The sequence below is a fragment of the Homo sapiens genome, chromosome 11 (assembly GCF_000001405.40).
Source record: "Homo sapiens chromosome 11, GRCh38.p14 Primary Assembly".
NCBI lineage: Eukaryota > Metazoa > Chordata > Mammalia > Primates > Hominidae > Homo > Homo sapiens.
Genome location: NC_000011.10, coordinates 11,340,047 through 11,354,750, shown reverse-complemented (window position 1 = coordinate 11,354,750; position 14,704 = coordinate 11,340,047). Strand labels below are relative to the sequence as shown.

General features: G+C 47.0%; 2 protein-coding genes across 4 annotated transcripts in view; both read left to right on the top strand.

Moving 5' to 3' along the window:
- The window catches only part of GALNT18 (polypeptide N-acetylgalactosaminyltransferase 18), a 351,129-nt gene that overhangs the window by 267,255 nt on the left and 69,170 nt on the right, over positions 1-14,704 (top strand). The window contains exon 7 of one of the 3 annotated variants that reach the window (NM_198516.3): positions 13,747-13,932. The exons of 1 other annotated variant lie outside the window; for it this stretch is intronic. In NM_198516.3, coding sequence (NP_940918.2) covers positions 13,747-13,932 — 186 coding nt within the window. Of the gene's footprint in view, positions 1-242; positions 2,973-13,746; positions 13,933-14,704 lie in introns of those variants that run through there. One more of the 3 variants, XM_011520071.4, reaches the window with a different exon arrangement.
- CSNK2A3 (casein kinase 2 alpha 3) lies at positions 1,501-2,809 on the top strand. The gene has a single exon (NM_001256686.2). It carries the CDS (start codon positions 1,632-1,634, stop codon positions 2,805-2,807), a length of 1,176 nt encoding a protein of 391 aa, NP_001243615.1. The 5' UTR covers positions 1,501-1,631; the 3' UTR covers positions 2,808-2,809.

Below are 14,704 nucleotides of genomic sequence, written 5' to 3'. Positions count from 1 at the left end.
TTGGGTATATAAATCTTGAGCTCAGAGGAATGTAGTGTGTTTTCCCCTGTCCCGAAAAGCTGTGGTATAGCAATAGTGAATCTTATCATCAGTGGAATATTATAGTGATAATAATTATAGCTGATACTTAGGGGCCTCTAAACTTCTTCCAGGTGATGAAATAAACTGTCTCTGTGTATTACTTCATTTAATTCTCACAGCAACTATCTTTGGAATTTATCACTTTTATCTCCATTTCATAGACAAGGAAACTGAGTGTTGGAAGGTGAAGTGAATTGCCTAAAGTCACCAGTTCAGCAAATGGGAAATGTAGGACTTGACACCAAGACTGTTTGGCCCCAGAGGCTATGCTCTGAACCATAATGACTTCCTGTCTTCCAAAAGGCAGGCTCTTGGATCCATATCTTACTGTGCTTCTAAATTATCCTGTGACCCTGAACCTTAGTTTGCTCACCTGGGAAATGAAGGGAGGTCCTGGTTAGGTTCCCTTCAGTTCTACTCTATTGCAGTATGCTGATCTCTTTTGTAAATCTGTATTAAATGAGAGTTTGCTATCGGTGACTTTCAGAGATGACACCAGTGATGATGCCCATGCTGACGATTCATTCTGATGTCTATGAAAAGAGCAAATCCTTTAAGAGAAGATGTAGCATACCAGTGTTTATAATCTGAGTTTCATTTGATTAAGAGGGGAAGCTCTTTAGAACAAATATCATTTCTGAGCGAGAGAATGTTCAGCATCTCAGCCTCATTTGTATCATTTGATAAAAGGGCCCCACTGAGCCAAGTGTGAGGATGATGCTTGAGCCAGACACATAGACACCAGACATTCCTCTGATGTCTGCTCCCCAGGCTTGGCCACATTGCCTCCCACCAACCCCATCTCAATGACACATCCATTACCTGCCATCAGTTGGCTCTATGGTGCTGGGAATGACAGAGTGTATCTACCCTGGATTTCAGAAAGAACCCTCCTGGCTTATCATGGCAACACCCTTTGGACACTCGTTTAAAGAGTCCTTCTTTGGGCCAGTGTTATCCTTTTGGGGGCATCTGGTATGGACGGCCAATTTGAATCTGACTGGGACATGCTAATGAGCCATTCATATGTGTGGGATTTGTTTCTGATTCGATTAAGCTTCAGAGAGAGGAAAGAAACAGCCACTGATTAGAGACATAAAAAAAGAAATACTTTAAGTGAGTAAGTGGTTCATCTTCATATAGGAAAGTATAAATTAAACATGGTCCAGGAGATGTGCTTTGAATAGCAGCTGGATAGCACAAGCATGTCCACAAGGAGACGGTGCCTCACAGCAATTGAAAGGGACTTAACCCCCAAAAAGGGCTCTGAATATGCTGAGTAAATAGATGAGCCCAGTTAGCTGATAAAAATGACTCTCAGATTAGAGATGGGAAGGTTTTTATTTGGATTTTAGAAAATTGCTCCCCACTCCATCGCCGCCATATTGTCTGTGTGAGCAGAAGGGAGAGCGGCCACAGCCGCTGCCGCTTCCACCACAGTGTGAAGAAAACAGGTCTGAAACAAGGTCTTACCCCCAAGCTGCTTCTGAACACAGTGACTGCCAGATCTCCAAACATCAAGTCCAGCTTTGTCCGCCAACCTGTCTGACATGTCGGGACCCGTGCCAAGCAGGGCCAGAGTTTACACAGATGTTAATACACACAGACCTCGAGAATACTGGGATTACGAGTCACATGTGGTGGAATGGGGAAATCAAGATGACTACCAGCTGGTTCGAAAATTAGGCCGAGGTAAATACAGTGAAGTATTTGAAGCCATCAACATCACAAATAATGAAAAAGTTGTTGTTAAAATTCTCAAGCCAGTAAAAAAGAAGAAAATTAAGCGTGAAATAAAGATTTTGGAGAATTTGAGAGGAGGTCCCAACATCATCACACTGGCAGACATTGTAAAAGACCCTGTGTCACGAACCCCCGCCTTGGTTTTTGAACACGTAAACAACACAGACTTCAAGCAATTGTACCAGACGTTAACAGACTATGATATTCGATTTTACATGTATGAGATTCTGAAGGCCCTGGATTATTGTCACAGCATGGGAATTATGCACAGAGATGTCAAGCCCCATAATGTCATGATTGATCATGAGCACAGAAAGCTACGACTAATAGACTGGGGTTTGGCTGAGTTTTATCATCCTGGCCAAGAATATAATGTCCGAGTTGCTTCCCGATACTTCAAAGGTCCTGAGCTACTTGTAGACTATCAGATGTACGATTATAGTTTGGATATGTGGAGATTGGGTTGTATGCTGGCAAGTATGATCTTTCGGAAGGAGCCATTTTTCCATGGACGTGACAATTATGATCAGTTGGTGAGGATAGCCAAGTTTCTGGGGACAGAAGATTTATATGGCTATATTGACAAATACAACATTGAATTAGATCCACGTTTCAATGATATCTTGGGCAGACACTCTCGAAAGCGATGGGAACGCTTTGTCCACAGTGAAAATCAGCACCTTGTCAGCCCTGAGGCCTTGGATTTCCTGGACAAACTGCTGCGATATGACCACCAGTCACGGCTTACTGCAAGAGAGGCCATGGAGCACCCCTATTTCTACACTGTTGTGAAGGACCAGGCTCGAATGGGTTCATCTAGCATGCCAGGGGGCAGTACGCCCGTCAGCAGCGCCAATGTGATGTCAGGGATTTCTTCAGTGCCAACTCCTTCACCCCTTGGACCTCTGGCAGGCTCACCAGTGATTGCTGCTGCCAACCCCCTTGGGATGCCTGTTCCAGCTGCCACTGGCGCTCAGCAGTAACGGCCCTATCTGTCTCCTGATGCCTGAGCAGAGGTGGGGGAGTCCACCCCCTCCTTGATGCAGCTTGCGCCTGGCGGGGAGGGGTGAAACACTTCAGAAGCAACGTGTCTGAACCGTTGCTTGTGGATTTATAGTAGTTCAGTCATAAAAAAAAATTATAATAGGCTGAAAAAAAAAAAAAAGAAAATTGCTCCCCAAATCCCTATGACATTTAAGCTCATTGTCATTCTCTGGCAGCACCAGTGACAGTAATGGGGGCCAGAGATCCTATTTCAAAACAAAGAAGTGATTACAGTAGATAGCGCAGGTGTCAATGGGACCCTGATTTGGAACTTGCTAATACTTCTGTCTCTGAGTTTGGGGCTTCTATAGGGTTTTGGTTCCATAGATATGCCTGGACTTGAACTAGCTTACCTTCCCAGCCTTGTGCATCGGGAAGCTGTGAGGGTCAGATCCTTCTAGATTTTGTGTCCCCTTACAAGGGTTGGAAGAGTCTGGCTGCAGCCCTGGCCTCACCAGCTGGCTCCCTCTTGCGTAAGTGGAGTTGCCACAGGGCTTCTGTCTGTGGCTTTCCAAGGAACCTGGAGCTGTATGTCATCTTCAAACCTGGACCTTTCCTCTACCACCCTGGCTAGCTTCACCCTTGGTTTCCTGCCCTCTGCTCTGGTTCTGAGTTTGAACCAAACTCTCACAGCAGCCCGATGTGCAGGAGTCCAAATGTCCTGCCTGCCCCTTGCAGCTCCCTCTCTCACCCCTTGGGGCTAGATCTGCTCCCTGCATCCTCAGCCTCTAGTGGGGTACTGCTTTGAATGAACTCATCAGCTGGAATTGGGAAGCGGTCACCTTCCAGACACTCCATCTGTCCCTATACCTGGAGCTTTCTCATATGAGCCCCACACAATAGATTGAACCTCTGGAAACTGGTGCCTGCAGGGACCATGCCTCTTTGGTCACCTTGCCTCTTTACATACTGGCAGCATCACAGACTGAAACAGCAGCTCTCAGAACTGCTGGAAATAGAGGTTACCCAGGAAATGTCCTATTTTGCTCACACAGTCCCCTGAAGGCTGGCTGGGAGGCTCTCCTGTGCAGCTTTTCTCCAAGTAGTGACTTGGGGACTCTGATTGCTTCTCTTGTGGGTTCAGCATCTTTGAACTTCAAGTTCACCCTGGCTTAAACATCCAGCAGATGGTGGGGTGGGGAGTAGAAGTGCACCTAAGGAGACACACTGGATAGTCACCTGCCTTCCCCGGGAAGTGGCAGAGGCCATGTCCTCTCTCATCTCATCGATTTGCACCCTCCTGACTGCAAGGGGTGCAGGGAAATATGGAGGAGCACCCAGGTGTCAGTGAGCAATAGGGGTCTCTGCCACACCTTTGGAGACCACTCTACTCCTGGCTCAGTTTCCCAACCCCTGTATGTCAGAGCCTGACGTCTTCCTTTTTCCAACTTGTCTTGAGTCCCATCTGGCCTGAGTTTGAACAATAGTAATCAGGCCTGTTGGCTGATATGAGATTTGAGGTAACCACGAATAAGCCCTTCTTGGTCAGAACCATTAAAGATAACTTCTAGTCTCAATGACCACACATTTGCAAAGCAGTCCTCCTGGAATGTCCTTCCCTGAACTCCTGTGGCCCAGTCATTATAGGCAGAGCACTGGGTCCAAGGAAAAGCCAGGCCCCCTGTATGGGATGGGCCAGTTTGCTGAGAATGACACATTACTGTTGCCCCTCTAACTTGACCCTGGGTTTCCTGTGGGTAAGCAGCTGTTTCAGCAAATCCCAGATTCCTGCAAAACAGCCTTTTAAGTTTTTCTTCATGGAAAGCTTCCAGACATTCCAGCCCAGCTTGTCTCTCCTTGGAATTCTGCCCAATGAATCCTGCTGCCTCTGATAGTTATGAGGGATCCCTTTCAAACAGAGGAACTGCTTCAACTGTTTGTTAGGGCTAACCCAAATGTTCAGACCCCTTCAGGGACACCTTCCAAGAAAAAGCATCATTTTTTTTTCCAAGCAGCAATTCCACACAGAGGACTCTTCGGAAGTGTTGATTGCAAGAAGAGGGCTTGGGAAACCATATCCTCAGGGAGTGTTTTTCTGCAGGCTCTGATGAAAGGAATAAGCATTGTCAGATTTTTTAAATGTTCTCTTACACTAAAATACATTAAAATAACTAAATATGTACCCCAGGAAACCTGGGAGAACACCAAGTAAAGTGCACTGAGGATAACGCAGAACTAAAGCCTAGCTCTGGTTCCTTCATTCGTGCAATTTATATTTTTTTGAGCACCGCTCATGTGCCAGCCCTGTTTAGTGTCTTGGTGAGGACAAAGTTGACATGAGCCTTCTCTCAGAGTTCGGTATTGTGGGCACATAAACAACAAAAAACCTCTCTCTCACTAGTAATCAGGGGAGGTTGCAAATTAAAACTGCGGTGAGGGAGAATTTCTTGCCCATCAGATTGGCAAAAATTTTAAAGTTGGACAATGTCAAATGTTGGCAAGGATAGGAAGCAATATGAGCCTCATCCATGCTGGTGGGAGTATAATGTGATCCACATTATTTGGAACAGTGTCACTTTTCCTAGGAAAGTTGAACATGTGTATATAACCTATGCTCCAGAAATTTCAGTGAGATAAATACATGGAGGCCTGCCCACTCTCGTGCACCAGGAGACACATACAAGCGCGTTCCGAGGAGCACCATCCGTAATACCGGAAACAAGACTGTCGACCAACTAAAGAGAGCATAAATAAATTACTGCATATTTATACAATGGAACACTATGGTGATGAAAATAAATGAAGCAAGAAGCAAGTTGCAGGATGTGTACAATCTGGTTCTATTTATATAGCGTTCACAAACAGGCAAAACTAAACAATGTGCAGTGTAGGTTTATGGCAAGGAAATTATTAAAAAAATTCAGGATAATGGGTTACCTCTGGGGGTAAGGAAAAGCACTCAGAGGTTTCTAAGGTACTGCCAAAGCATTGCTTCTTAAGGGGGGTGGAAGATCAACAGTTGTTCTTTGTACTATGTGTCTTTAAGCTGCACACACACACAGAGTTATCACACATACTGTGCAAGAGGACTTACAGGTGATATAGGAATGCATAGCCAAGGCATGAGCCAAAACTAGGGCAGCCAGGGAAGGTAGGTGGGAATTAGCAAGGGAAATAAGTGTATACGTGGTAGGGGCATGGGAATTTCCAGTAAAGAGAGTGGCAGAAAGAGGGGACAGAAACCCAAGAATGTGATCCACCTATGTCCATGGCATAACTGGACATAACTAGATGGCATGAGAGATGAGGCTGCAGGAAAGAGACAGGGCCAGTTCTCAGAGGTCTTGCAAACCATGTTAAGGAATGTGCTGTTATCTGGAGACTAAAGGTTACCAGTGTGGGAGTGAGATATTTTGGAGGGAGGTTATCTCCACACTGACATTGTCTTCATCCTGGCTGCTCTGTTGCACGCCCTGAACCTGACTTGCTGATGGCCTCTGGCTTTTGTGTTGGCCTTGTCCAGATTTGACCTCTCTTCCTTTTTTTTTTTTTTTTTTTTTTCCTGAGACGAAGTCTTGCTCTTGCCACCCAGGCTGGAGTGCAATGGCGCGATCTTGGCTCACTGCAATCTCCGCCTCCTGGGTTCAAGCGATTCTCCTGCCTGAGCCTCCTGAGTAGCTGGGATTACAGGCACCCGCCACCATGCCCAGCTAATTTTTGTATTTTTAGCAGAGATGGGGTTTCACCATGTTGGCCAGGCTGGTGTCGAACTCCTGACCTCAGGTAATCCACCTGCCTCAGCCTCCCAAAGTGCTGGGATTACAGGCGTTAGCCACCATGCCCGGCCCTCTCTTCTCTTTCTTATTCCCATGCAGAGCCAGGATAGAATGAGGTGAGTGAAATGCCCAGGGTACAAAATTGGAGGATGCCTGGAGTGTCAGTGTCCTGCCCACCCCTATTATTTGCCTACATCTCTGACCGTTCAGCCACTCTGCGAGTGACTTTCTGGTCTTCTGCCAGCTCTCCCCAGCCCTCAGCCTCAGCCTGCATCCACCTCGTCTTCCTCCCCATAGCCTGCTGGTTTTGGCTTTTCACTCTTGTCTCTGCTTTTGCAGCCAAGTTAGGCGAGACAGTTACACGTAAAAAGATAATTAACCACATGAGCCAAGAAATAAGGACCACATGAGTCGTACAAGTCATTAGTTCCAAGAGTTTGGAGGAGCTGGGCCAGGCCGGCTTTGGATGGATGTGGAGAGCAGGAAGGAGGCTTTCTGGGCTAAGAGAACAGTGGGAACAGTTTGCCAAGAGCAAAGAGCTCATTAAAAGTCATAAGAAGATGAAAGCTGCACAGTATCTGAGATCTGATCTTGTGGATGTGGCTATGAAGTACAAGGCTGAAGTGCCACCAACCCCAGTCCCTTACCCATGGTAACCGTAATGAATAAATTGTGGCATACTTCTCCACTGAGACTGGACAGAGCCTCAGAATTCTTCCCAACACAGTGCTTCAGAAGGATATTAACAAGCAAATGGATTTCACACAGGAGTGTAAACTCATTTGCCATCCCTGTCATAGACTATGGAGCAGTCATGAGTCTTGGAGTAGAAGAGATTATCAAACTACATCCCATTGCTTTGTCTACTATGTGTCCCTATTTTAACCCAATTTACAACTCTCAGTTGTGTCTCAAGTACTGGGCATCATTTGAGGCACTGGCTAGAAAATGCAAAATCACAGAATACAAAAAGTAGAGGGGACCTAAGACAACATTGAGTCCAGCTCCCCCATTTGGCAGCTGGGGGAAATTGAGGCTTGGGAGCAGGAGGCTTGTTTGTGTGAGTGGCCAATACAAGATGTAACCCTGACCTTGTACCAGTGGCTCCTCAGCCTGGGATAAGAAAGTGATCTGAGCCTCCCTGAGAACCCACTACATGCCCGCCTTTGCTCGTGGGAGCTTGTCATATACAGCATCTCTTTTAAACCTGGGGAATCATTATTCCCAAGAAAAAGCTGACATCCAAAGACAGGTCCAAGTCAAAGACTAATATATGACAGAGCCAGGATTTAAACCCTTTCCACCAGCCCCTAAGACCTCCATGCTTTCTTGTATTTCTGGGTGGGTGTTTCAAGCCTCTTCAGAAGCGATAACAGTACTAGGGTTTTCTGGGAAGGGCCGGTGGTGAGTGTGATTTTGCTCTGCCCCAGGTAACTGTTCTCTACAATCCACTTTAGGGTCTTGGCCACATGTGGGAGGTGGTCCCAGCAGCTCCTCTGTAGGCATATCTGAGCATTTTGTGAGGTTGGAGCCTTTCTCTCCAGTGAGTTCATGGTTCCACAAGAGGAAGCTGCCTGCTATCGCCTGTGCTCATTTGATGACTTCCTAGGTTTTACGACATTAATTTAAGCTCTGCAGCCCAAGTAACTCTCTTTGATTGCAGCAGTATGCGCTTAAATGTCAGAGCTTTGCTGAAAAACCACTTGAGTTTGAAGAAAGTCATTGTGTTCAGTAAAATCTAGCCACATTTTATGTTTATGACCTTTATTAGGGCATCCCGCTGAGCTAGTTAAAACCATGCCTGTATAGTCAGTGAAAGCCCAGGACTCTCAGATTCCTAGATTCACTCATTCAAATAATAGTTATTGAATATAGACTAAGTGGCAGGTGCTGATGTATACAGTGGTAAACACACAGACACGATCCTGTTTCCATGGCACTTATAGTCCAGTGAAGGGAGACAGACATTTAAAGAATAAGTACAGAAGTAAAAGTATTTTGAGTAAGTGTTATGAAGAAAAAGGCAGGGCACTAAAGATATTCAGAGGGGATCTAATTTACACTGGGCAAATCAAAAGAGGTCGTATTTGAGCTGGGTCGTAAGTGGGGGATAAATTATTCAGGACGTGCGATAGCAGGTGCAAAGGCACAGAGAGAAGAAAGAACTTAGTGTAGTCAAGGAACGTGTTGCTCAGTGCCCGTCAGAAGCCTCAGGACCCAGCCTTGTGCTGATGTGCCGTCAAGTATGCCCAGTGCCTGCAGGACTCAGCACATGCCCTCACCATCGTATGTGTAAATTAGGGTCTACATCTTGGTGGTTTCTTCCTGTGCCCTGTTCCCTGCGACCACACCTGCCTTCTCTGTTTCCAACCCTTGGTGTTCATTTCTCAGGCACCCCTTTGGTACCCAGCTACCTGCCGTCTCTCCCTAGGCATCTCTGTCTACGAGAGCTCAGGATGCCAAGCCATCCCTGTACCCACACTTCATCCCCTGTCCAGCTGCCCTGCTTCCCCAGCACAGGCCTTCCTGTGTATATCCTCCCTCTGGTTTGGGGCTTGCTCTATCGTGCCATTTGCAAATTGGACATTTAATGTGCCAGGCCCAGCTCCCTTTCTCTCCCTTCCTTATCCCCTGCCCCTCCCAATCCTCCACAGAAGCTCCATGATGTCATTCACCATGAGGTCCAAATGCCAGTGACTTCCTTTCTTATCCTTTGTCTACCATCCCAGAGGGCCTCTGAGATGAGCTGTGGGTATGACTTTTGAAATTCTCTCTTGGGTCAAGCCACTGGTCAGTGGAGCCACTTATCTCCCAGGAGTCAGCCAGCACAGGCTTTCTCTTGTTTGCTTCAGTGCCACTGGGCAGGGTCCAGAAGTGGCAGGGTAAACATGCTGAGTCCACATCTTCTGGCTGCAAAGCCCAGATGCTGCCAAGAACCCAAATGCCATGGCCAAGGCAGAAGCTGTTACCTTCTCTATAGATGAGTGCCCTTTCATAGAAGGGAGGAGACTGGAAATGTTGACCAGTGCTCCCTGTCTCTGAGAAGGGAGCGTTGTGTACCCCTCTGCTGGGCTGGGCATTTGGGAAGAACCCTGTCTTCTGTGGCCTGTTTGCTCCCCAAAGGTGGGTGTACAGGACCGTCCAAATAGCAGCAACGTAATAATTATTAAATTATTATGAAATAATAATAGGCACACACACAGACTGAGGGCTTCCAGTATCCTGAGCACTTCAGCAGGGGCTCCCTGAGCCCACAGCCTGGTGTGGTATCCATTGTCATGGGTGTTTGTTAGCCAAGAGGTTACATAGCCCGACACCACTCCACAAGCACTCGGTGAGGCCAGATCTGGCCCAGATGGCCTGTCCCCATGTTCAGGGTGTCTTTGCTTCCTTGACCGCCATCCACATAGTGCTCACACTGAGGTAGGCTCAGTGTTAAACACTTACCCACACTGCATCCCCTCACCCACAGGGCGGAAATGAGGCTTGGGAGGGAAGTAACCTGCCAAAGGTGACACAGCAGCAGGTGACAGAGGACAAATGTGAATCCAGTTCCCACAGACTCCAAAGCTGTGCTTTCAAGTGCGACATGCTACTCCCACCTGGCCCAGATGCCCCACCTCCCCTGGAACCCAGGATCTCTTTTGAGCACCATTTAGCACGTGTCTAAGGGACAATTTGGTGACAAGTTTGAGAACATTTTGCAAGAGGGAAGGAGGTGATTAAACAAGCAATTGCAATGGTGTTAGTTCAGGGAACAAGGCAGGACCACACAGCACACCAGGTAAACCTAGCGGAAGGGGGTGCAGCAAAGTGACAGTGAACTGAGGCTTGGAGGATGAGTCAGGGAGGCAGGCAGGGTTGGGTACGTCATTGCATGTGCAGAAGTCTGAGGTGAGGGGAAAAAGACCCATGTGAGAGGAAGTAAAAAAAATAGCGTGGCTACAGCATAGAGGCTGTAGCAGAGAGTGTATTGGGGAGCACAAGGTCAGGGCTGGAGGGGTGGTGGGGGGCAAGCCCAGATCAGGGGCTGTGCCAGGGGCATGGTGCAGGAGAGGCAGTGGTCCAGCTTACACCTTCAATCACTCCAGTTGCTGAGTGGAGAAGAGCTTGGAGAAGGAATATGGGAAGAGGGAGGTCAGGTGTTTGGAGTCTGTGGCAGAGTCCAAATGAGAGATGATGACGACGGCCTAGACAAGGGAGGTGGCTGCAGGGATGGGAAGAGGGGAGTGAATTCAGGTGCTGGACAGTCATGCCGCTCCTTGTACCGTGTCTAAAGGCACGATGGGAGGAGCCGCACCACCATTCTGATTAGAATGACGGCAGATGTGCCCACTCTAAGGTGAAATGGTGAACCTACTCTTTAAGAAGCAGGTCTTGTAATAAAAGAGTTTTGCTACGACTCATGCTCTGTGTTGTATTGTTGAAATATGTCAAGCAATAGCCACTGTTCCAGTGGCAAAAAGAATCATTACCCTGACTCTTTGTGTTGTCAATAACTTCTTCATGGGATTCACAGGCTTTCATAGAGAACCTGAGCAAAGTGAATTGGAAATCAGGACTGTCCCCAGAATGTACAGGTCTTGGGAATGGAGGTGCACAGCCTGGGGCCTTCACCGCCACCTTCTCATGATCCTCAGAACCATTCCTGGATGTGGGAACTCCTTTCAAAGCTTGATCATCGTGGGGGAAGTGTTGGCTCTTCGTTGAGTTTCTTTGGGATCAGACAGATCCTTTTGTCTTAAGTATCAGCTGTGTGTTCTTGAGCAAGGGACCTTCCTTTTTTTTATTATTATTTTTTATTTTTTTTATTTTTTGAGACAGGGTCTCACTCTGTTGCCTAGGCTGGAGTGCAGTGTGACACCATCAGGGCTCACTGCAGCTTCCACCTCCTGGGCTCAAGCGATCCTCCTGCCTCAACCCTCCAAGTTGCTGGGACTACAGGCACGTGCCACCACGCCCGGGTAACTTTTTTTGAAATTTTCAGCAGAGATGAGGTCTCACCATGTTACCCAAGCTGGTCTCAAACTCCCAAGCTCAAGTGATCCACCCACCTCAGCCTCCCAAAGTGCTGGGATTACATGCGTGAGCCACCGCAACTGGCAAGGGACGTTCTTTAGTTTCCACTTCCTCACTTGGAATTGGGCATAATAACTGCCTCACAGGGTGATTCTAAAGATTCTGCTGTTCAGCTTGATAGTAATAGCTAAGAATGACCACATGCTTATTATGCACCAGGCATTTTTTAAGCACGTTGCATGTAATTGCTTTAATTTTCTCAGTGACCTTCTGAGATAGATAGGTACTCATGATCCCCATGGAGAGGAGGAAACAGAAGCACAGTGAGATCAAGTGGCTTGCCCAAGGTCACATAGTAGGCATGGAGCAGAGCCAGGATGTGAACCTGAGTAGTCTCATGGCCAGCCCTGTTCATAACCCACCCACCATGTTTTGCTGCCTTCCTGAATGTACAGTCCAGTGCCTGGCACATAGGAGACGCTCAATGAGGATGTTAGTTTCCTTTCTATTGGTCCTAAGTTATAAACTCAAGGCAAAACAAGCTTAAGTGAGTGATAAATCAGTAAGCCACCTTCCAACTCCAACAGCCTAGAGCCTATAGGGGCCAACTGGTGTGACATGGATGGGTGAAAGGGAAGGCATTCCCTTCCTAACTAACACAGGGAAAACAAGCTAAATCCAAATCTGGCTTTATCCCAGACTTATTGTTGTTGATGGGTACATGTTATATATCTGAACTTCATCTACCAAGTTCATGGTGATGTTGACAGTATCTGGCAAGTAATATCTACTGTCCACCAGGAGATCTTGATTACTTTCCCTCAGAAGCCACATTCATCAGCTCTAACCAGGTATTTCAGATTCACCTGAAATTCAGTAAATGTCAGCCATTTATACATTGATTGATTGACTGATGAAGCATCTATCATTTATTTATTCAGCAAGTACTTATAAAGTACTTCTACGTACTTGGCCTTTTGTTAGGTGAGTGAGTGAGATATAGGTTTTGCCCTCCAGGAATACACGATCAGTGAGTGAGGCTGACCTATAAGCAGGTAAGTTGTGATATCAAGGGCTGTGGGGGCCAGAGGAGGGAGAAATTGGCTCTACTCTGAATATCGAGCAAAGACTCCACAATGTTGGGGCCATATAGTCAAGGTCTTTTTAAAAAAAAAAAAATTTTAATGTTTTAGAGACAGGATCTCACTATGTTGCCCAGGCTTGTCTCACACTCCTGGGCTCAAGCGATTCTCCCACCTTAGCCTCCCAAAGTGCTGAGATTACAGGTGTGAGCCACTGTGCCCAGCCTGATCAAGGTCTTGAGAGGTGAATTTTTTCAGCTGAAGAAGGAGTTGGGGGCAGTGGGGCATTCTAAAATTACCAGCAGAATGGAGCAAAGCCTAGAAGCACAAAAGAGTGCAAGTTCAGGAACATTGAAAGGTCAGGATGGCTGGAAAGATTGTAGCGAGAGCTTTGAGATGCTGCCCATTAACACTTAGAATGCAAAGGTTTATCTTTCAAAATCTAATTGCATTCGGATCAATCTCCTATTCACCAAGGTTGCTAAGAAGTTTAATATCATTTCCTTCTTTGCAGCGCTCTCCCTCAGATTCAGTCAGAACCCAGAGCCTCGGAAAGATGCACTAGAAGAAGGGTGTCTGGTGACACCCTTCTCTGTGGTGATCACTAATTCTTGTCCAGGCCCATGTGGTCCATTTGAAGAGGAAGTCTCTGCTGGGAGTCTTGCTGGTTCTCCTTTATGTCAACCACTGCTGCAGACTATCATCAAGGGTTTTGTTAACTTCTCCCCCAAGTGCAAGGAGAATTCAGATCTTTGGAACAAAATGTCTGGTCTCTTTTTTTGGTGGGGTAGGGCTCACAGGTGGAGGGAAAAAGTGCATTCATTTTTTTTGTTGGTAAATCCACAGCAATAAGAGCCAATATATGAATTAATGACTCCATAGCCATCCTGCTGCTATAGGAGCAGAAATCAGGTATGGCCTACTCCTTCACAGAGAGTGATCTGGGGAGTCAAGGTGAAGGGGCTGACTTTCTTCCTGCTCATGTCAAGTGGCTGCCTGAGGCCTGGTGTAGAAAGGCAGAGCCAGGCAGGCTCTGACAAGTGGCTCCATGTCTTCTGCAGGTGTGGCAGTGTGGCGGGAGTGTGGAGGTCCTGCCCTGCTCACGGATTGCCCACATTGAGCGAGCCCACAAGCCCTACACAGAGGACCTCACCGCCCATGTCCGCAGGAACGCTCTCAGGGTGGCTGAAGTCTGGATGGATGAATTTAAAAGCCACGTCTACATGGCATGGAACATACCGCAGGAGGTAGGGATCTCCGGTAGGGATGAGTTTCTCGGGGATTGGTGGAAAACAAACAAAACAAGATATGGGACCGAACCCTTCTTCCTATGGGTCAGCCAGAGTCCTGTTTGCCATGCAAGAATGGACTCTCAACCCCAAAACATATTATTTGCTGAAGAAAAGGGGCCATGAGGCTCTAAGCCATTTCTTATCCTGCTACCCTAATCCCTGGTCAGCATGCTTGATGAGGACTTCTCTCTGGATCTTAGTGTCCTAATTTTAAATGAGAAAGTTGGACAGGTAGCTCAAGTTTCCTTCATGCTCCCAGGTCCTCAGCTTCTCTGACATTAGATGTTTCATGGTCCTGGATTACAAATATACCAGTAACTACAAAAATTTACAAAAAGCATCTTAATCTTCCTACAGATTAGGTTCAAACTTCTCCATTGAACCTTTGACCAGAGTTATAAAGATCCACATGCCTTTCAGGTTTCTTGAGCCACGTGTATGGGGATGGGGGCACACCTACAGGGACCTTCACTAGGAGATGGAGTTAACCTTCACAGAGCCTCATCATTGCCTGCCACTGTCCTCTATCCCTCTGGTCACCTGTACTTAAGAAATGCCAGAGGAAAAGCAATGCTTCTCTGGTAGTTTTGTTTAGCCCTGCCATGTGTCAAGGTGAAACATGTGGAAATGACCTTGGACTACTGAGTTGAGAGAACCCAGCTCTACTACTGAGAGATGCCAGCCACATGATTCCAACCCACTTACCAGCCTGTCTGCCTAGAGTTCA

What these genes read in the sequence shown, in the direction of transcription:
- CSNK2A3 (NM_001256686.2), top strand. Translation starts at nt 1,632, where the DNA reads ATGTCGGGACCCGTGCCAAGCAGGGCCAGAGTTTACACAGATGTTAAT.